At 35.0% G+C, this 23,113-nt stretch overlaps 1 long non-coding RNA gene across 1 annotated transcript in view; it reads right to left on the reverse strand.

Annotated features, from left to right (window-relative positions):
• LOC105375451 (uncharacterized) overlaps positions 1–23,113 on the reverse strand; it is a 173,872-nt gene that overhangs the window by 49,414 nt on the left and 101,345 nt on the right. The window contains exon 4 of the long non-coding RNA XR_927863.3: positions 22,552–22,647. This is a non-coding gene — a long non-coding RNA (uncharacterized LOC105375451). The remainder of the gene's footprint in view (positions 1–22,551; positions 22,648–23,113) is intronic.

Consider the following 23,113-nt stretch of genomic DNA (forward strand, 5'->3'; position numbering starts at 1 on the left):
AACTTCTTTCAAAGTTGGAGTCAGTCCTCTCATACCCCACCACTGCTTTATTAACTAAGTTTATAGAATATTCTAAATCCTTTGTTGCCATTTCAACAAGGTTCATAGCACCTTATCAGGAGTAGATTCCATCTCAAGAAGTCATGTCATTTGCCCATCCATAAGAGGCAACTTCTTATTCATTCAAGTTTCATTATGAGATTGCAGCAATTAAGTCCCATCTTCAGGCTCCACTTCTAATTCTACTTCTCTTACTAGTTCCATCACATCTGCAGTTAATTCCTCCAATGAAGTTTTGAACCCCTCCAAGTCATCCCTGAGAGTTGTAATCAACTTCTTCCAGATTCCTATTCATGTTGATATTTTGACCTCTTCCCATAAATCACAAATGTTGTTAATGGTATGTAGAATGATGAATTTTTTCCAGAAGATTTGTCGCTTACTGTGCCCAGATCCATCATGGAAATCACTATCTAGGGCAGCTATAGCCTTATGAGATATATTTCTTAAACAATATTTGAAATATGTATGTCCTAAAATATGTATTTCTTAAATAATATTTTAAAAAATACTTGATGTATTATTTAACACTTGAATGTCAAAATTACTCTTTGATCCATGGGCTGCAGAATAAATGCTGTGTTGGCAGGCATAAAAAGAACATTACTATCATGTACATCTCCATTACAGCTCTTAGGTAAGCAGATGCATTGTCAATAAGCAGTAATACTTTGAATAAAATCTTTTATTTTGAGCAGTAGTTCTCAAAAATAGGCTTAAAATATTCAGTAAACCATTCTGTAAACAGATGTGTTGTCATTGAGGCTTTGTTACTTCATTTATCAGACACAGGCAGAGTAGATTTAGCACAATTTATAAGGGCCCTAGGATTTTTTTGAATGGTAAATTTGCATGGGCATCAGTATAAGGTCACCAGCTGCATTCGTCTCTAACAAGAGAGTCAGCTTGTCCTTTGAAGTTTTGAAGCCAGGCATTAACTTCTCTTCTCTAGCTATGAAAGTCCTAGAGGCCATCTTCTTCCAATAGAAGGCTGTTTTGTCTACATCAAAAATCTGTTGTTTACTGTAGTCACCTTCCTGAATGATCTTAGCTAAGTCTTCTTGATAACTTCCTGTTTCACCTTACACTTTCGTGAAACATATGGAGATAGCTACTTTCCTTAAACCTCATAAACCAGCTTCCACTAGTTTCAAACTTTTCTTCTGAAGCTTTCTCACTTTTCTCAGGTTTTATAAAATTGAAGAGAGTTAGGACCTTGTTCTAGGTTCAGCTTTGGCTTAAATAAATGTGGTCTATACAGACCTCTAAAACTATCTCCATACCAGCAATAAGTCTCTTTTGTTTTCTTATCATTCATATGTTCCCTGGAGAAGCACTTTTAATTTCCTTTGAGAACTTTTTCTTTGAATTTACGATTTGGCTGTTGGGTTCAAGAGGCCTAGCTTTCAGCCTATCTTGGCTTTTGACATGCCTTCCTTACTAAGCTTAATTATATGTAGCTTTTCATTTAAAGTGAGAGACAGGCTGGGTTCAGTGACTCACGCCTATAATCCCAGCACTTTGGGAGGCCGGGGCAGGAGAATCACTTGAGTCCAAGAGTTCAAGACCAGCCTAGGCAAGATGGTGAGCCCCCATCTCTACAAAAAAAAAAAGAAAAAATTGCTTTTAAATAGCCAGGCATAGTGGTGCATACCTGTGGTCCCAACTACGTGGGAGACTGAGGTGGGAGAATCACTTGAGCCCAGGAAGTCAAGGCTACAGTGAGCCATCTTCATGTCATTGGACTCCAGCCTGGTGACAGAGTGAGACCCTGTCTCAAAAAAATAAAGTGAGAGATGTGTAATTCTTTCTTTCACTTGAACCCTTAGGGGCTATTGTTGGGCTATTAATTGGCTTAATTTCAATATTGTTGTATCTCAGAAAATAGGGAGGTCTGCGGAGAATGAGAGAGGCCAACAGTTGGTCAGTGGAGCAGTCAGAACATACACAACATTGATCAATGAATCTCACCATCTTATATGGTCATAGTTTATGGTGCCCAAAACAATTATAATAGTTACATCAAAGATTACTGATCACAAATCACCAAAACAGATATAATAATTAAAAAGTTTGAAATATTGTGAGAATTACCAAAATGTGACACAGAGACATAAGGTGAGCAAATGCTGTTGGAAAAATGGTGCCAATAGACTTGCTTGACAAAGGGTTGCCACAAACCTTCAATGTGTAAAAATGACAATGCCCAATAAAGTGAAGTACAATAAAATGAGGCATGACTCTGTGTGTGTGTGTGTATGTGTGTGTATACATTATACACACATTACGCATTCAATAATTACTTTCTATCATAATAAAGTAAATTATTTACCAGTTAGATAGAGGCAAAATGAGGTCATTCCTATCTCCATATAATAAAGTTATAAGATAATACATAAAAGGGTTTATGTCTTGTATTGCATTTCAATATATAACATTAATTCATTTTAGAAAGTCTATAGTCATCAGATGTACGAGGTTAGGAATTCCAATGTGTTGAGCATCAAATTTAATTTTCTATTTGCTCATGCTGATGATTGAATTACATGGATGTGAAGGCTATTGTGCCCTTGAGACAAAGTTTAACAGTCCACTTAAACAGTTTTTTAATAGAAACTTCTAAGGAATGTTGATTCTGTCACAATGTAACAGCAGATATATATTTAGTTCAATGATTATCTACATATAAATATTTAAATAAAAAGGGATGGCATTAGTCATCTTTTATAATCCATAAGTTGGGTAATATAATGAAATCTTAGAATGGTTCACTTATTCTCAACTTGTGAACATTTTAAGTATTAGTATTTAAATTAATATTAGCAGAACAATTGAGTTAGGTGAAGTCTTTTCTTCATAGTAACCTGTAGCAAGTCAATCAATGTCACTTAAATTGCTGCAGTTGGACTCCCAATAGCATATAATTTTCACTGAGTGGTACTGGGTAAAATACACCTCAAATACTATAATCAATCCTAGGAGAGAACAAAACCAAGACTTATTTTGCAGACAAGATGTGATAACAAGAGTACTTCAAGCTTCCTGCATAGAAATATAGAAATTCATATAAATAGTAGAAGGACTACATTTTTATCATGAGCTATAACACTTTTACTTTGAATTGAAGACACATTGGGGTTGTATTTATGATATAAATATCATATAAGAAAATGAGAACTTTTTTGATTATCTAAAAAGAGAGTGAGGAAGACATCTAAAAAAAGTTAAATCTCTTTAAGTTTTCATTCTCTAAAATAAAAGAAACATTTTTATGTTCACAATTCCCTCTCTACAATGAGTTTATCAGGCCTGTAAAGCTACACTAATTTAATAGATACAGGTGGTATCATTCGCATGGCCATTTACCCCAGCCTAAAATTCTCATTACTGTCACCTGAAACTACAATTGATTTCTAACTGTTCTTGCGGCTATAACCTTTCCCCTTTGGAGTCCAAGTTTCAGATTAACCTTCCTCTAGCATGGCTTTCATCATGCCATTCCTTTGAAGAAAAATCTGCTTGTACTCTCATCACATTCAAGTCATCCTTGCCTCATTCCAACACATCTGAAATCTGATCACAGCCAGTCTCTTCAGTTTTATTTCCCATGTCTTCCCCTCAAAACCAGACAATCCAGATTTTCCCTTCTGTAGAGACAGTCTACACATTCCAATGTCTCTGCCTCTGCTCTGATTATGCTACATGAATTGACCTTTCTCCATCCAAACCTTTTTCAGACCCATTCAAACATCCTTTCCTTCATGACGCTTATCTGATTCGACTCTCTTCCTTACAACTCCTTCCAACTACAAGTGTATCTGTTACAGTGTTTAGCACATTCTGGTTTATCTTTACTGCTTATCTTTCTCCCTTACTGATCTTTCTTGTACAGTTCATAAGGAGAAGTCATGCTTGTATCACATTTGAATCATCCCCAGCAAGTAGTGGAACACCTACATGAATTAATTCAAATGAGTTTTTCATGTGATTTTTTTAAATGAAAATTCCACGGGAGATTACCATCTCAGAGAGAAAACTAATTTAAGACTCCTTCACAGATTATCAGATGAGGATGTGGAATCAAAGAAGTTTGAATTGTTATAAATGTATCTGCTCTCAGGAGGCAGATGAAGGGAAATTGTATACGGTAAGTTCTTAAATAAATACTATTGGAAGTTTCTTTAAAATAAAACCTGTATGTTCACCTTCACTTAGTAATCATAGACCATATTTCTGTATCTTCCTTATATTCATTGTTTTCTTTGGCAGATGTTGCTATAAAATACAAAATGAAGTTGAGATTTGGAAAATTTTAGGTTTATTTGATTGGTATCACAAGTTGACTTTCAGGGTGGGAAAAAAAAAAGAAAGAATCTGCTTTAGATACAATTCCAAATAAGACAATATAAAAAGAAGTAAGAATAACCAATCTTTCTCCCATTACTTATTTGTGAGACATAGAGAAGAATCTAAAATAAAGCCAGAGTTAATGAAATGCTTTTAAAGTATGTTGGAATGTTTGAATACAGTCCCTATAAAATACAAGTTGCACTTCTTGTCACCTGGCCTTCACTCAAACACTTCTCATTTTGTTAAACTCTCTTTTCAGCTGAACCGCCTGATGATAGAAAATACAACTTTACATTCTGCCAGTGGAATTGCTTGGCACCAGAATTCTAGCTGGATATTCCCCTGTGGGAATCTCACTTTTTGTATGCATTGTTAAGCATCTTACTTTGTATTTAGATAAAGCTTTTATTTCACGACTGCTTCGTTTCTCTTCTTTATGAAATCCAGGTAGTGTAAATCAGCTCTTTTGACTTGTACATTTAATTAGAACAGCAGATAAGAAAAGGTATTAATAAAATCCTCCTTCTATTAAAATAGAGGTCAACAGTGGCATATTACTACTCCATAGAGAATATAACCAAATTTAAAGTGGGGAGCTGTTTGGCAGATATTAGGCTCTGGAGAACAATCAAACTCCTGTAAACTTCCTTGAAAAAAATCTCATTATATAACAGAAAATGTAGAATGAGAAAGCGTTTTTAGATTTAAACTAATTAGATTATGTCTTGATGTTTGCCTCTATTACTCATAAAAATGGTTATCCATAAAAAACCTAATTGCTTTCTTCTTATTGCATCTTATACTATTTATTTGTTTGGAGGACTTTTTAAGAATTTTCTTTTGCTGTTTAGGTACATTTGGTTTCTCCTTGATTACTAGCAGCTGCCCAGGACATTAACATGAAGTCTCCGGCCTCAGGTCAGTGAGTTGCCAACCTACCACATTACCATCCTTGGAGCAAACACTGGGCAATTTTAATTCACTCTAAGATCATAAGAGTGAAGTGACTACCAAAAAACAATCAAATTAACTGGAGAATAATGTCCAACCCTAAAGGGATAACATTCTCCTTTGGTTATATCCCAACCTTGATTTTGCACAGTTCCAGATACCATTTTTTGACTATTAATTCAATAAAGCACCATTGTTTAGCATTCCTTGTTTCCTATTATTCAGTTCTTCATTCCTGTTCCTTGGGCTCACTCCTCAAAATAATCAGCACCTAATTCTTTGTCTCAAGTTTTCTATTAGGAAGAACTATGCTAAGACAAATACTGAATATGCCACAAGGGGATATTGTGTACTGAACTTTATAATTTATTTTTCCATAAAGCTGTTTTTTCTTTTGTTGAGACAGGATCTCACTCCGTTGCTCAGGCTGGAGTGCAGTGGTGCAATCATGGCTCACTGCAGCCTCGAACTCCTGGGCTCAAGCACTATTTTTTAAAAGAACGTCTCATCTCAGGTGTTACAAAGAATACATTAAGGGAAACAAAGAGCCAGAATGAGCTGTTCCAATACAAAATAAAATCCAGTTCCTTGTTTTGACTCCTCACAAGAAAATGTGAGGCAGAAATATGACCTCTATAACCTGGTCCCAAGTTCTCTCTTCAAACTCAGACCGTATCCCTCTGTTTCCCACTTCTTTACTCCAGTATTTCTGTTCTTCTTTATCTTTAAACATGCCATACATGTTCCTACCTCTGAATTTTTCCCATCCTGTTCCCTGGACTAGCAACAGATAATTGTCCGGATCATGGCATGACTCATTTTTTCACTTAATTCAGGTCTCCATCTAAATGTCACCTCAGCACGAATGCCTACCACAGTATCTAAAATATCACCTCCAGTCACTTTCTTTTATACAGTTTTATTTTTGTTCAAAGCCCTTCTCACTATTTGAAAACACTCATCACTCTCTTGTTTACGGGTTGCCTTCCCCCATTAGAATGCGAGCTTCAGAAGGGCAGAGCTTCTGTTCACTGCCTATTACCAACACCTGGGAAAATCTGTGTGTCTTTGAAAATGTGTGTGTGCTCTTCCTCATTCTTATTTTTCTCATTTTTTTATAGAGCAGGGAAAATGCAATCCCAAACCATTTTGGAAAACACTGCTCTCTATTCCTTAGCAATTTCCTTAGCATACCATACTGCCTTCACTTATCTTTCTTTGCCTCTTTGGTTTTTCCTCCTCACATTCACCTGGAGAATTGTCAGTCCCACTTCAACACTCAGATTCAGCATCATCTCTCCATGAAACCACGCCCATGGCCCACCCAGGTGGATGCTCTGCCCTGTGTGTCCTTTGCTCTGTGTGCTCACTTATCTTAAGGCATGTCACTTTATACTATAAAGGCTTGATTGTCAGGTGCGGTGGCTCATGCCTATAGTCCCAGCAATTTGTGAGGCCAAGGTGGGTGGATCACCTGAGGTTGGGAGTTCGAGACCAGCCTGACCAACATGGAGAAACCCCGTCTCTACTAAAAGTACAAAATTAGCCGGGAGTGGTGGCGCATGCCTGTAATCCCAGCTACTCGGGAGGCTGAGGCAGGAGAATCGCTTGAATCCAGGAGGCAGAGGTTGTGGTGAGCCGAGATCGTGCCATTGCACTCCAGTCTGGGGAACAAGAGTGAAACTCTGTCTCAAAAAAAAAAAAAAAAAAAAAAGCTTGATTATATGTCTGTGTCCCCTCCTGACTCTGAGTTCCTTGAGGACAATGACTCTGTCCTTTATCACTCACAACATCTTTAGTACTTATCAACCTGAATAAAGACACTAGAAAAAATTAATTCTCAATATGTTGGGTTTACTCAAGAATTAGGAAAAAGTATTATAATCCAGACACCATTACCGGGCAAGTGTTCTTCCATACACGTCTTATCCGAATTACTGCAGTGCTAAAGAATGTCTAGTGGTAAATTTCATCAAAGCAGAAGATGTGTGAAGGACATGAAAGGGTTTCTTGAGGGATATTTTACAAGTCCTTGGAAACAGCTCTCATCTCAGATATGCATGAGCCTTCTCTCTTCGTGCCTTCCTGACCCTATTTTGTCTGAATCTCACAAAAGTGATTTCATCCTGGTATATGCAACTTTCACAGTACATAGAACAGTGCCTCCCTCAAATATTTTTCACCACCACCATCCTAGTCTGACACATTGCATGCTGAGTGGAATATTTTTGAAGCTGCTATGTTTTCTTTCCTTACCAGACTTCCTAAGTTATGTCTCTGTCAAATGCGGTCTGTCTCATAGGATCTTTAATGTTACAATTGTCTTTTTTTTTTTAATTCTGTTTTCATACTTTAAGTAAAATGAGCTGTAAATAATACAGCATATTAATGGACGGACTTAACAGCATTTTTATATGATCACTTTGTGCCACCTCTGGGGTTTCTTTATAGCAGGGACTGTACCAACTCAAAGAAGCTTGCAGTTTTGGAAGCTAGAAGCCCCTCCACTTTGCTCACTGCAGCCAGTGCAGTCTTGTACAAATGTGAATCTGACAGGGTCACACACTCTTACTAGCTACACTGCTTCCCTTCACAGCCTTTGCCAGTGCAATTCTCTTTCTGGAAATGCTCTTTCTTCCCTTGCTTCTTCCCTTGACACATCTCTACTGATTTTCCAATTTCACTCAGTAACTATTACCCCTCTATTATACACCTTTACAGCACCAACCACCTCTCTTTCAGGCATACTTCACATTTGTAATTTTACTTTGATCATACGATTAATGTCTGTTTCTCCCTACAAAGGTGAGCTCCCAAAGGAAAGAGACTGTTGTTTTTATTCCCCTAGCACAGGGCAAGGCACATATAAGTAGTCAATAAATATTCTTAGCATAAATGAATGAATACCCACACAAAACTGTGTGGGCATTCATAACCTAACCAAGTTTCCAATATACAACGTAAGGGTTGCTAAGGAAAAAGAACCCTTTTCAGTCAGCCCGAGAGGATTTTGGTTTCTAAAGTAGCCTTAAATTCTTATAGAGTTTAAAAAAGAAGTAGCTTTTTGAACCTGATCATTTTTAGAATGCTAGCCTAGGCTGTAAGTCAAAGGGAGAAAGCTTTATGTTCACAAACCCCAAGGGGTTAAGGGCACGATCCAGGGAACCTGGAAGAAAAGCCAGCCACTGAAGCATGAAAAACCAGGTGTAAAAGAACTTTCAATTCAGGTCCACTTGTTAGGAATTCTAAGTTTTACAGTCCTTGATCCTCCCTGTATCAGATTACTTTGTAACTCAATTGTTTCCTCAACTCAAAAGAACTTGATCTTACTTTTTTTTTTTATTCAGGTGTTGAGTGAACTGAAAGATAGAGAATAAAGAGATTAATTAAAGTGAGATAGCAATGGTCAAGTTCACTCTCTGCTGAGTGTATCACCCTCATCTTAAATCTTCTTAAACCACACACAATTAATGTGAAAGCCTGAGGGCACTTGCATGGAAAGGATAATGGGCTGAATCTTTAAATGATATAAAGTTCTTAATCCAAAGTCTCTCTGCTTTATTGGTTTATGTTAACACTTTACTGATTAATCTTGTGATGACTGAAGCTGTTTCTATTCAGGGAAATCAAATTGACGGTTTGATCTATTCTATTTTTAGTCATTTTAAATTCTCGGTCACCACACAATTGATTGAATTGACTGAACTATAATCTAAATCTTAAAACTGCAGAAAATACCAGATTGGTCATGATGTAATCCAATAAATATTACAGAAGTCACTAGTTTCTATAACATTTTCTAAATATTTTTATAAGTAGTTGCAGACAAGATACATATACAACTGTAGAAGACTAATTTGTAAATTACCACATGTACAACTATGAGAGACTGGTCTGTAAATTACAGTATTTCCATACAAGTGCTATTCTGATGCTACCTATAAAATAATGTTTTTAGAGACAAGTTAGTGACAATCTCACACAATAAGGAAAAAGGCAGGAGACAAAACTATATAAAAAATATAAGTCGACTTTTTGTGGGAGAAAAAATATATAGGAAATGTATATTTGTATATATTCCTGTGTATAAACACATGCAGGAAATATATATGTGAAAAGAGACTATATATGTGAAAACAGGAGATACATTTATTATATATGTATGTTTATGTGGGTGTGTATATATTATGTATATGTATATTATGTATAATATATACACACCCACACAAATACACATATATAATATATACATTATATATACCCACACAAATATACATATTTATATGTATATGAAATATGAGGGAATGGTAAAGAGATAATTATAAAGGCATTTTTTCTTCCATCTTCATACTTTTTCCTGTGTTTTCCAAGTAGCCTATACATTTTAATAATTAGAAGAAATCAACATTTTTAAAAATTAGATTTATGGCTTTCAATGAAGAAAATCATCTTCAGAAGTTTCTCATAATTTGGGGTAGTCTTGTTGTAGAGAAATGGGGAGGAAGAAAAAGATATACCACCCACAATCTCCTGCCACTACTAAAATCGTCTCTCTCTCTCCACCCTCCACCACACACACAATGATGCTACTGTAGGCTCAATGCCTTGACATCTAAAAGCTATGCTGTGTCACTATCTGTAACTGCAACACTCTAACCATGTATTTTTAGCTGCTGATAACCTAGAACTGATGTATCATTTGAAACTAGCAAAAAGCCCCTTTATTTTTTACTCTAAAGGCTTCTGGAAACCAAGACACCGTGGGACCTCCATTAATTGTGGATGAAGAAAAGGCACAGGAGAGAAAATTTAAAAAGACCTGTGTAGCTCCTCACGTAGCAAAGCCTACCTTATTGTGAAGCCTGCATCTGTGGAAGGGGATTTTCTACAAAGACCATCCTCCCCAAGGATGGGAGAAGCCAGCCTATATGACGTGGCCTGGCACTGTGAGGGTTCACACAGAGAATCTTCTCACTCAGCCTCTTCCCAGGGCTGCAAACACTTTTAGGGAATCCATGATGAATTAAAGAGAAAATTGAATTGATCCTGAGGACATTCTGCAGGGCAGGCTACAACGTTTGCAGGGCCCAGAATACAATGAAATTGTGGGTCTTCTTGTTCAAAAGTAGAAAAAAAGTGCTACTAATGATGCTAAAGTATAAAGCTTTTGCTTTTCTTCCTTTTCTCTTGGTTTGTCATGGTGTTTTGTTTGCTGTTGAATGTCATTCAAATTTTTTAAAAAAATAAGTTTTCAATTATTAGCATGAATTTTACCATTCCTCTTTATATTGCATAATCCCTATTTCAAATACAAATACATGAGCATTCAAACTCATGCAGAATCCACCAAAATTACCATAGCTAGTGCATGCACAGGCATGTTGTTCTTAGCAAAACAGTGGAAATACTGCACAAAATTAATTCAGCTATTTTTATTTCACTTCTTGATATGTGCACATTCTACCAACACTCTACTTTTAGCTCACTAAGGAGTAGAGACAGAGTGATAGGGAAACTATAGGCTGCCCTATTTCCCATTCCGTCTGTGTCATTTTCAGGCTGTGTGGTTGTCTAATACAGGGAAGTAACTCAAGTAAGTAAGGAAATGATAGGGTTCCTTGCTTATTCATGTGTCCTAGAGCACCATTTCCTTCTTTTTACATTTAAAGCAAATTCTGGCTTAAATAGAAAGCTTAGCATCTCAGGGCTATCAGTTCACCTGCTTGCACAGTCATAGATACAACATGCTTACCTTGTACTCGCCTAACATCCACACATGGTGGGCCCACAAGAATTCTGTGCTCATGGGACATCAGAAACACTGATGTACAGTAGCAAATACAGTAGCCAGAAAGGTAAGCATATATTTTGTGCTTATCTCCTCTGCCTACACATATACTCCACTGTCCCATCAAACTTATCTTACAGAACACAAGTTTAAAGATAAAACTGTTAAGAATGTCAAAATAACAATGAGCATTAAATCAATTTCAGGGCCCTTCTGATCACAGGTCCTTTTTGGCTATACAGACTGCACATCTATGACCCAGCCCTGACATACTGCTTTGGGTTTTAGCCATAGCACTTTCAAGCCTCCTCAGCAGCCTGATGTCTACTTAACTAATTAATGAAATTAAGTTTGCCAGACCCAGGGACAAACAGCAGGACATGTGCACCCTGAAATCTACAAAAAAAGAAAGTGGAACAAACTCTCACCAAATAAGGAAGCTAACCATAATGATCTGATATTTACGTAAGGTTATAAGATTGACTATTCAGCAAAATCCTACTTTACAATTCACGAATTAAGCCAGTAGCGGAAGAGTGATTAGAGAGCAGCAAAGAAGAAAAGTTTGCTCACTGATTATTTCAGATGCAGTTCCTGAGATTGACTGGGACACTAATTGGAGAATCATTAAGTGCAAAGGTACAGTCTTACATATATCAATGGTCTGTTTTCTTTCTGGTTGACAGAAATGAACAATTCCAGGAATCATGCTGAACACTGTAATCTGATAATTAAGGAAGAGCTCAGTGGAGCAACGAAAGGAAACAGGAAAATTAAATTTAAAAAGAAGCCGATGAAGAGCCAGGCACCAACTGACTCAAAATTGTCCATTTAACATGTTCTTAAAGAGAAACTGAAAATGCTCTTTATAAACAAGATTTAGTGGTATCAAAAGAGAGCAGCTTTTCTGTAAAATAATACCAATGTTGCCAAGGCAATGCATTTCTTAACCAAGCAAGTTAATATTGCTTCTGCCTACTGCTTGGCTTCAAAACAAGCAAGGCCAGTCTTATACAGTGATCAAATCCAGTGCACTTTAAGTGAATTGTGTAGATGTACTCTGTAGCCATCCACATATATAAGGTGACTCTCATATCAATAAATTGGTAAAGTAAGATTAACCAGAAGTTTTCTGCTGGACACTGATTTGGTATAATTTCTATAATTTAAAATTTCTACAGTTTCTCAGTTTGGCCATTTTTCTAGTGCCCCAATCCTCCTCTAGCCTGAGGTCCCAATAAAAACCAGAGTTTATGGACTCTCTCCTAAAAAACTATCTTCACCTGAGCTGCATTCTGTTACTCATGCCTTCCGGTGTAATTCAGTCTCCAATATTCACATGTGGGCCAATCTCCATTGGTCAAACGCCACTTGCGTGAGTTACAAATTGGACACCACCATATACCTCTAACTATATTTCCATTGCCATTATCACCAGATTAGAACTCTGGATTCAGTTGGCCCAACTCTGAAATCATTCCTGATATTATAACTTGGACAACCCAGCTCGCAATTCTAAAATCATTCTTTATCAACTCCTGCGTTTTCCTCAGACCTTTAATCCACTAGTTATTGTCATTTAAAACTGGCTCATTCTCTTCTGTTGGCACCAAGTTGTTGAGAACTTAGCAAATCTCCAGCTTAAGTTTATCTGAGATGCTAACTTAGTTTCGAGGTCACTCCAATGTGGCACCCCAGCATCTGTCATATAACCCTGTTCCTATCCCAAATCCTAACTCCGGAATTGGGGAGCGCTCTCCTCTCTCATAAATACTTCTTGTGCAGTCAACCTCTGTGCCTTTCTATTCCATTGTAAATAGGAAGAGAAAAAATAGTACAACTGTAAGAACTGAGAATTATTACAAAGGTTCTTTATCTCAAAAATTATTCCAATCCAAGTGCCAAAATACTTACAATATCACATTGTAATTAAACTCAATTCAACATAAATTTCTTTAGTCACTAACTAAAAAAGACACTATGGATGACTCTACACTTATTAAAGACAAATAAGGCATAGTTCCCGCCCTTGAGGAGCTGACAGTTCAGTTAGAAAGAAATAACATATATTAGACTATATTTTGGTTACTTTTATGTATGTGCATAATAGAAATATTGATGAAATGCTATGAAAATATAGATTAAAGATAATTTTCTTTGGGTTAATCTTTGCTCTCTTCCAGACATTATTTTATTCAAATTATTTCAAGAGGTAATATACCAGTCATTAGAGCTATCAAGACCCTCACTCTCCTCCAAGCTGTGTAGTAGAAGGTGATAAGAGTCCTGGGAAATATTAAAGCAAAATAAGAGGCATTCATAAAATATTCATTAATGTATTCATTCATGCATTCAATATTTATAAATCATCAATTCTGTGACAAGTACTCTACAAAATACTGTGCAGGATGAGAAGTTCTATGAGGCATAGTAAATGTCTTCAAAGGTAACTCATGTTACGTTTTCCTTGATGTTAAGAAGCCAAGTTGAGACTTTTGTAATTTAGAGTTTAATAGCTCAAATTTTAATATTTCAGGCCTTCATCCATATTCTATTGTACAACAAATTCTTATAGGTCTAAAGGAGCATTACACATTTTATTCAATTGAGTCATCTATATTCCTGCTTATTCCTCCTGTAGGTAGTTGCTCAGCTTCATTACTCCAATAACTTTTTTTTAAGAAAAGAAAAAAAACATTGATTGCTTAGACCTGTATTTCACAAACAGGAGCTACAGCTGCTTACATCAGAAAGAATCACTTGGGTTACTTATAAAAATGCAGAAAATCTGACTCAGAATCTCTGAGGTTGAAGGCCAGAAATCTGCATTTTTAATAAATGCACAAATGATTCTGATTAACAGTGAAGTCTGAGAGCTTCTATTCTGATACATCTTTACCTTCGCCTTATACTCTTGAGGACATAGGTCTTTCTATTTTTAAATACTCTTCTATCTCCTAGACTTCATATCTCAGCTCAGCTATCCCTTTGATAAACAGACTTTCTCTAACTACCCCAAATTAACCAGGTGTCACTCAATATTCTTCTTTTATAAAACCCAGTTCCTTTCTATCAAATAACTGATCACATTATTATACATTTGCAGATATTCTGCTTGAAACATAGTTCTGCCACTCTAAGCTGCATAAGGGCAGAGACCGTATCTATTTACTTTGCCATTATATATTATCTCTTAGCACAGGGCTTGGTACAGAGTAGATGCCTAATAAATTATTCAGTGAATGAGAAAAAAAAATGGATAGTAATTACCTTCACACACATGAAGACGGAACAAAAACACTATATAAAATAATATGCAGAATATGTAACAAGTTAATATATGGTCAATTCTATACAAGTCATAAATCCTTTAAGAATTTAGGAGGAGAGAATCAACGTGCGCTAATGTGGTCAGGAAAGTCTTACAAGATGAAATGAAAGCTTAGCTGGGCCCTAGATAGTAATTAAAATCTGCAAAGAGTGAGAGAAAGACAGAATTCATAGACAAAAGTTCAGAGGCCAGAATCACAATGTCTCAGTTAAATTAACCCAAGATTTATTCCAATTCAGCACATTCTGTTTATAGATAAATGTGGTAAGGAATTTTTTATTTTGATTGATTTCCTTGTCCTTGGAGGAACAGTCCATAGAAAAGCAATATTCTAAATTTCTCATGGTTTTATTGATCCCACCACCAATTCCTAGAAATAATAACTCTGTGAGTTTCAAAGTATAAAGAGGTTAAAAGAGCATCAAAATGATATCAGATATCCAATCAGACATTACAAAACCTGGCAGAAGTGATGTAAATATTGAAACAAAATGTACATCCAACGTATCAGGGAATCAAATCAGAATGTAAAAAAGTTGATGCCTCCAATACAAATCAGTAATCTGGATATCAATCTTCCCCATATTTGAAAAACGTGAGTGGCCAGTCTACTTTTATTTCCATTCCCATTGTTTTCCTTTACAAATGCAAAGAAAAAAGGAATTTCTAAAAAACATTTTCAATTAAATGATCAGTCTACTAAACAGTCTCAACTTGAAGAGATGCAAATATAAAATGGTTTTCTTCTCCTGTTTGTTACCAAACACATTTTATAAGTTCTCCCTTTACGTAGCATTTATGTCACTTTCAGACATTAAAAGAAGTCTTATGCATTATCACTGTAAGTCCTTTCATACATGCACACATATTATTTTTAACTAGGAAATTATTCAATTTTAGAAAAAAGATCAATTAAAATTGCTCACAAAGCTTCTGCCACATTAAAATCAGTAAGTTGGTCTTGCCCTCCCTCTGTAACAGCCAGAACACTGGTGGGAAGAGAGGATGTATAAAAATATATAAAACAACTGCTCTAGGGAATTGAACGCTATGATCTCTGACAGAAGGAAAATACGTGAGATAGGCTTTTCAATCTTCCTGGGTTTTGGCCTGAAGGAACATCATGACCCACAGCACATGGTGGGGAAACTGAGCACAGCCTGGGGATCTCACTGAACTCACTAGGCAGAGATCAAGGTTTGGGTTTGCTGAGGCCACCGGAATTTGCCAGGCAAAATACAAAAAGGAATAAGATACAGAGAGGGAGACTTCCAGAAACTTTCATGGGGTTTGGGGGGGGTCCTACAATCTGTTTCTAAATACTAAGCTGTGAAACATAGGATTGGATTTCAAAGGCCAAGCAAAGAGCCAATAGAGAGCTATAAAATGAACAATTCCCAGAGATCAAACTGGACTGGAAGGCACTCAAGTATTAATCAGCCAGAATGGAGAAACCTCTTCAGAGTACAGTAGAAGTAAAGCTAAACTAAGAAAGCATACTCTAGATAGAAATGAAAAATTCACTGAACAAACTTAATAGGAGATTCAACAAGGCTAAAAAGAAATCAGTACATATGACCACATAGCAATAGAAAATATCCAAACCGAAGCACAGAGAGGAAATGGCTAAAGGGGAAATAAACAAATCCATGGTGACCTTTGGGACAATTTTAAATGGTCTAACATATGTGTACTTGAAATGATGAAAGGGATATAAGCAGGAAAATATATGTGAAGGAATAATACCCAGAGACTTTCCATATTTTAAGAAAACTATAAATCTGCATATCCAAGAAATTCAGTCATTCAAAAGCAAGAAAAAAATGAAGTATGAAGTAAACTACATCAAGGTAGTAAGGCATAATAAAAAAGAGCAAACCTCAAAGCAATTACAGAAAAAAAGGCATATTCCATGCACATGAAAAAAGACAAGAATGACTAGGGACTTGTTAAAAAATAATGCTAGCCAGAGGAAAATAGAACATCTTCAAAGTGCCATCAAAACACACAAAAATAAATTGTTATCATAGAATTTAAAAATCAGCAAAAGAAATATTAAGAAAAAAGTCATTTTCAGACAAATAAAAGCTGAAATACGTGTCGCCTGCAAATATGCACTTCAAGGAATGCAAAAAATGTTATTTGGAAAGAAAAAATAATGATTTCAAATGGAAATTTTGATCTGCATAAAGCATGAAGAGCTTCAGAAATGTTAATTATGTATGTGAATATAAATGACATCTTATTCACATGTTTTAACTTATTTAAAAGATAAATAATGAAGAAATAGTAAACTATTACAGGACTATAATATATGTAGAAATAAAAGGTAAGACAAAAATTACATAAAGGATGGAAGATGAAATTAGAAGTAAACTTTCTTAAGGTTCTTACAATATATGTGAAGTATTATTTTGAGATAGCTTCTAATAAGATGAAGAAGCTAATTGTAAATCCAAAAACAATTAATTTTTAAAAATGAAATAAAGGCCTGTAACATAATTCAATAATGAATATAAAATGAAATACAAAAACTACTCAATTCAAAAAAGGCAGGAAAACAGGGACAAAGGAGCAACAACAAAAAGCAATGGTACAAATAGAAAATAAATATTATTGTACACTTAAACTCAGCTATATCAAATTTTACACTAAATATAAGTAGACCAAACGCACCAATTAAAAGGTAAAAATTATTAGACTGGGTCAAAAGCAAGACCAAGATATTTGCCTGTCTACAAGAAATGCTTTTTAAATTCAAAGATGTACATAGATTAAAAGTAAAAGGGTGAACAAGGGTATTCCCACAAAAACGCTAATCATAAGAAATCAAGAGTGGTTATATTAATGTCAGACAAAGAAAGTCGTTTTTTGTTTTTGAAATGAAGTCTCACATTGTTGCCCAGGCTGGAGTGTGGTGGCGTGATCTCAGCTCACTGCAACTTCTGTCTCCCGGGTTCAAATGATTCTCGTGGCTCAGCCTCCCAAACAGCTGGCATTACAGGCATGCACCACCACACCTAGCTAATTTTTGTATTTTTAGTAGATACAGGTTATCACCATATTGGCCAGGCTGGTCTCGAACTCCTGACCTCACGTGATCCACCTGCCTAGGCCTCCCAAAGTGCTGGGATTACAGGCATGAGTCACTGCTCCTAGCTAAAAGAAACATTTTAGAACAAAAAAATTTACCAGGAATAAAAAAGAGAAATTCCACAGCAATAAAAGGGGTAGGCAGGTTAGCAAGAGGACATAATTTGTACCATTTCTGAATGGAAATTTAAACACTTTTTCTCTCGGTAATTGTTAGAAATACCAAATTTTAAAAAATCATTAAATACAAAGAAGAATTGAATGACACTTTTAAGTAATGTGACCTAATTGGCATTCATAGAATATCTTTTCCCAACAATAGTTCAAATACGTATGTAACATTCACCAAGATAGGTCGATCATCTTCTGGACCATAAAAGCAGTTTCAATAAATAAAAAGACTAAACTCACACAGAACAGGTTCTCTAGGTATATATAATTAAGTGAAAAATCAATGTTTATATCTTCATGGAATAGTGCCAAATACTTTGAAAATTAACAACCTTCTTCTAAATGACCCAGGGGTCAAAGAAGAATTCATAGTTAGAGGATATAAATAAAGTGGTCCTTAAAGGGAAACCCTTAAATATTTCCATTTAAAGTAAAAAAGGTCTAAAATCAATTATCTAAGCTTTAATCCTAAAAAGCTTAGAAAGGAGCAAATTAAGAAAATAAAAATTAAGGAAATAATAATAATAATGGAAAATTAATGAGGTTTATTATTTAGAAAAATCATTAAAACTGATAAACGTCTAATTAGATAAATCAAGAAGAAATAAGGAAAGCACAAATTACCCATGGCAGTAATAAAAGGTGGCATATCACTATGGATTTTACTGACATTAAATATTAGGGGAACATTTTGAACAACTTTATGCCAGGTTAGCATAATAAATAAATTCCTTGAAAGATATAATTACCAAAATTGAAACATGAAGGTATCAAAGATGTGAATAGCCACATACATATTAAAAAGTTGAAAGAATAGTTAAAATCTTTCCCATAAAGACACTTCAGATTCACAGTTTCACATGTAGTCTATCAAAAATTTGAAGAAAAATATAATAACAATCCTATACAAATTATTTTAGAGAACAGAGGAGAATGGAACACTTCCCAAATACTTTCATGATGTTAGAATTACTCTAATACCAAAACCAGACAAGAACATTACAAAAAAAGAAAATTACAAACCAGTCAGTGTCCTTTTAAAAACATCAAATCGACTGCACAATATATAAAAAAGATACTATATCATGACAAAGTGGCATTTGTTTCAAGAATTGAAAGATGTCTTAACAATTAAAAATTAATGTTTTCCCCATATTAACAAAATAAAATGGGAAAATATGATGATCTTCATAAATGTATTTCTCTGTACTTAACACCCATTTATATAAATTTGGTATTAATAGCAAACTAAGAATGAAATAAAACTCCCTCAACTTGACACAGGGCATCTATGAAAAGCCTGCAGTTATCACAAACTTAATAGTGAAAGACTGAATGATTTTCCCGTAAGATTGAGAACAAGGCAATTTAAGTTTGTTCTCACCACTTTTATTCCACATTCTACTGGTGGTTCTAGTAAATACAATTAAGCAAGAAGAGAAAAAAAAATAAAAGCATATGAAATGGAAAGGGAAGAAAAAACTGTCATTAATCTCAGAAAACAGGGTTGTTTATGTGGAAAGAAAACTATAAAACAGGTACTAAACCTAAAAGAATTTACCAAGGTTTTAGTAAACAAATCCAAGAAGCAATTGTAACTCTATATGATGGAAAATAAAATTTTTATGTTTCCTATAGCATTCAGAAACATGAAAATATTTACAGATAATTTTTAAATGCCCAAGGCCTCTACACTGAAAACCATAAAACATTGCTGAGATGTACTAAATGAGAACTAAATAAATGAAAAGACATATCAATGTATTGGATCAGTATTGTTAAGACTCAACATTGTTAAGATGTCAATTCTAGATAAAACACAAACAGTTTTAAAGAAATTGACAAGCTGGCTTCATAATTTATAAGGAAATCAAAATGACATAGAATAGTCAAAACATTTCGGAAAAGAAGAATACATTTATGCTACCTGCTTTAAAAACTGAAGAGGATTTGTACCACCTGATTGCAAGACTTATCAAGAAAATATGGCAATGGCATAAGGATTTTTATATTCATCGTTGGAACAAAACAAAGTTCAGAAATATACCTAAATAGCATCCCATTCAACAACAGTTCCAAGGTAATTCAATGGGAAAAGTCTAGTCTTATCAAAAAATGATTCTGGAATGAGCCATTCTAAGCATTAATTCAAAATAAATCACACACCTAAAACTGTAAAGCTATAAAGACTTTGGAAGAACATATAGGCATAAGGTAGGCAAACAATTATTAGAACTCATAAAGTACAATGAAAAAATGATAAATTGGGATTAATCAAAGTTAAAACCTCCATTCCTCAAAATACAACAGTAAGGAAGTGAAAAAATATTCACAATACATATATCTGATAATGGACTTGTATACAGAATATTCTAAAAACTCTCACAGCTCAAAAGTAAGTCAATCCAATTCAAAAATAGAGAAAAGATTTGAACAGATTATCATATCACAGGAAAATACTTGAATGGGTAATAAGATCATGAAATGGTACCCAACATGATTAGTCATCAAGGACATGCAAATTAAAACCATCCAAAGATACTATTAACATGGCGAAATGCTAAAATTTTAAAGATTAATGGTATCTATCAAATGTTACAAAGAATGTGGAACAACTATAACTTTCACGTATTGCTGGTTGATGTGTAAACTCACACACCATTTTTGGCAAATATTTCGACAGTTTTTTATAAAGTTAACTGTATACATGACATACAATATTGCTATTCCAGTATATTTACACAGATAAATGAAAGCATATGTTCACAAAACACTTGTATATGAATATTTATGGAAACTTTATTTATAATTGCCCCAAACTGGAAACAACACAAATATCTATCACTAGGTAAATTATTAAATACATTTTGGTATATCTATTCAAAAGACTACTGTTCAGCAATAGAATGGAATAAATACTAACGTAGGCAACAACATTGATGAAGCTGAAGAACATTACGCTAAGCAAAAAAGACAGACACAAAAAAACAGACACTGCATGATTCCATTTAAATGAGATTTTTGAAGAGAAAAAAAAAAAAACCTATATTGTCAGAAAGCAAATCAACAGTTGCCCAGGATCTGTAGTAGAGTGAGATTTACTACAAAAACAGATGAGGAAATTTGGAGGATAATGGAAATATTATACATATTGATTGTAGGAGAGATTATTTGGGTGTATATATTTAGGAAAACTCATCAAATTGTATATTTAACATGATATATTTGTTGTAGATCAGATTTACTTTCATAAAGTTGAATTTTTTAAGCCTCTTAATAACCCCCACAGCACAGCACTCTCCTCCTAGGTAAAGGACTCACTGTTTTAACGTATCTTTCTTTAACCAATATTTCTCTAGTTTTGTCTCTTGGTTATAAGCTAGATGGCATGGCGAGTGACTTTCTCAGAAAAGGTTTTTGCCCTTTAATCAATCCTTGAAGAAATATCTGGCATCAAGTTTATGTTTTCTACAGATATACTTATCTCTTCGTCCTTCGTTTGGGAATTTACCTTACTTCTCTTTTACGCATATTTAAACTTATTTTTTAAACATACACCTTGGTATACTTTGTTTAGGAATTCTTTCCAGCCATGATCCAGAGGAGGAATCTTAATAATTAGGAGGCATCATTCGCACCCCTGCAATGGCAGCTGTTAGTTCGGTAGCTTTTCCAAGAGGGCCAAATCAAGCTCATTGAGAAAGTTAAGTGAATCTGGCTACCTAGAAGAGTTTAAGGAAGCTGCAAGCTTTCTAGATCAAATCACTTACTCTTGGGCAGTATAGGTATGGTAAATCCCCCTGATAAAGAAGAGATCAAGGACTTACACTGGTGAGTGGAGGCTACCAAGAGAACCAGAGCCTAGACAGCCTTAACGGGACATAATGCCGAAGTCAGCACAGCTAGCCAGAATGGAGAGCTTGTACAGTGTCATTCTTCTCAAACATTTTTACAGAAGTAAAACAGAGCTCAAAGAAGTCTTACACAAGTATAAAAGGCTCTTGATTTATTTTAAAAGTAATTGTGGGCTGAGCACAGTGGCTCACGTCTGTAATCCCAACAATTTGGGAGGCTGAGGTGGGCGGATCACTTGAGGCGAGGAATTCCAGACCAGCCTTGGCAACATGGTGAAACATGTCTCTACTAAAAATAAAAAAATTAGCTGGGCATGGTGACGCATGACTGTAATTCTAGCTACTTGGGTGACTGAGGCACAAGAATTGCTTGAACCCGGGAGGCGGAGGTTGTAGTGAGCCGAGTGAGACGAGATGGCGCCACTGCATTTCAGCCTGGGTGACAGAGCAAGACTGTCTCAAAAAGTAAAAAAATAAATAAATAAATAAATAAATAAATAAAAAATAAAAAAAAGTCATTATAAAAAAGGGAATGTGTATTAATGTAAAAATGATTTTTAGATTTTTGTTATTGAATAAAAATGACAGTCCAAGAAGATGCACCATGCTTATCCTGTGGCTTTATGTACTTCCTGGTACAGCACTGGATCTGTCATGAATACACATATTGTGCTCATGGGCTTTTCAAAACCTATATGTAACAGTATGAAGTTGAAATGGCTTAGCCCACAACTAATGAAAATTATTAAGGATCTGATGAAGGTTTTAAAAGTTTTAGAGAGACTTATCTAGTAGAAGGGTGGATTAGAGGGGGAAAAAGTGAGATAAGGGAGATCAAGTAGGAAACTATTGCATTACTTCAGCCAAAACGGCAAAGTCCTTTGCTAATATTATTTCTTGGAAATTTGAAAAAGTCTTCCACAGAACAATTTGGGTACCAAGAAAAGACTCACAGATTGTATTGTTGGCTATAGGCAGACGTTTCACCATTGGGGTTGTGAAATATTCCCTTTTTCTTCCATCTTGAAGAGGAATGCTCACAGGAATTCCTGACAAAGACAAATGGAAATACGTGAACATCTCTGAAAAGCTAAAAATGTGACTCCCTTTCCACTGGTATTTGAAAATAGATGTTTAATATTTATTTAGTGGTGGCAGTGAGAAACAAATTTTCTTTTAATAAATATCGTACAGTTCCATTTAAATTTAAAATAAGTAATTTATTATATGCATTGAACATGGAATAGCATTTTAAATATTTGAATTGTCATCAGATTGCAATTTTTCAAAGCAGATAACATCTTAAGGGGCAGAATAAAGATACTTAAATTAGTAAATACCATAATGCCATGCAATATTCAGGTTCAAATTTTGAGCTAACTATAATTATCAAGGAACTGGCCTCAGGGTTTGGGGAGTACACTATAGTTGTATAGTGTAACCTGCAAGAAGAGTCACAAAAGTACTCCTTAAAGATACATTGGCACCAGTGAGAGTGATTTTTCCCTTGTTTGT

The sequence above is a fragment of the Homo sapiens genome, chromosome 7 (assembly GCF_000001405.40).
Source record: "Homo sapiens chromosome 7, GRCh38.p14 Primary Assembly".
NCBI lineage: Eukaryota > Metazoa > Chordata > Mammalia > Primates > Hominidae > Homo > Homo sapiens.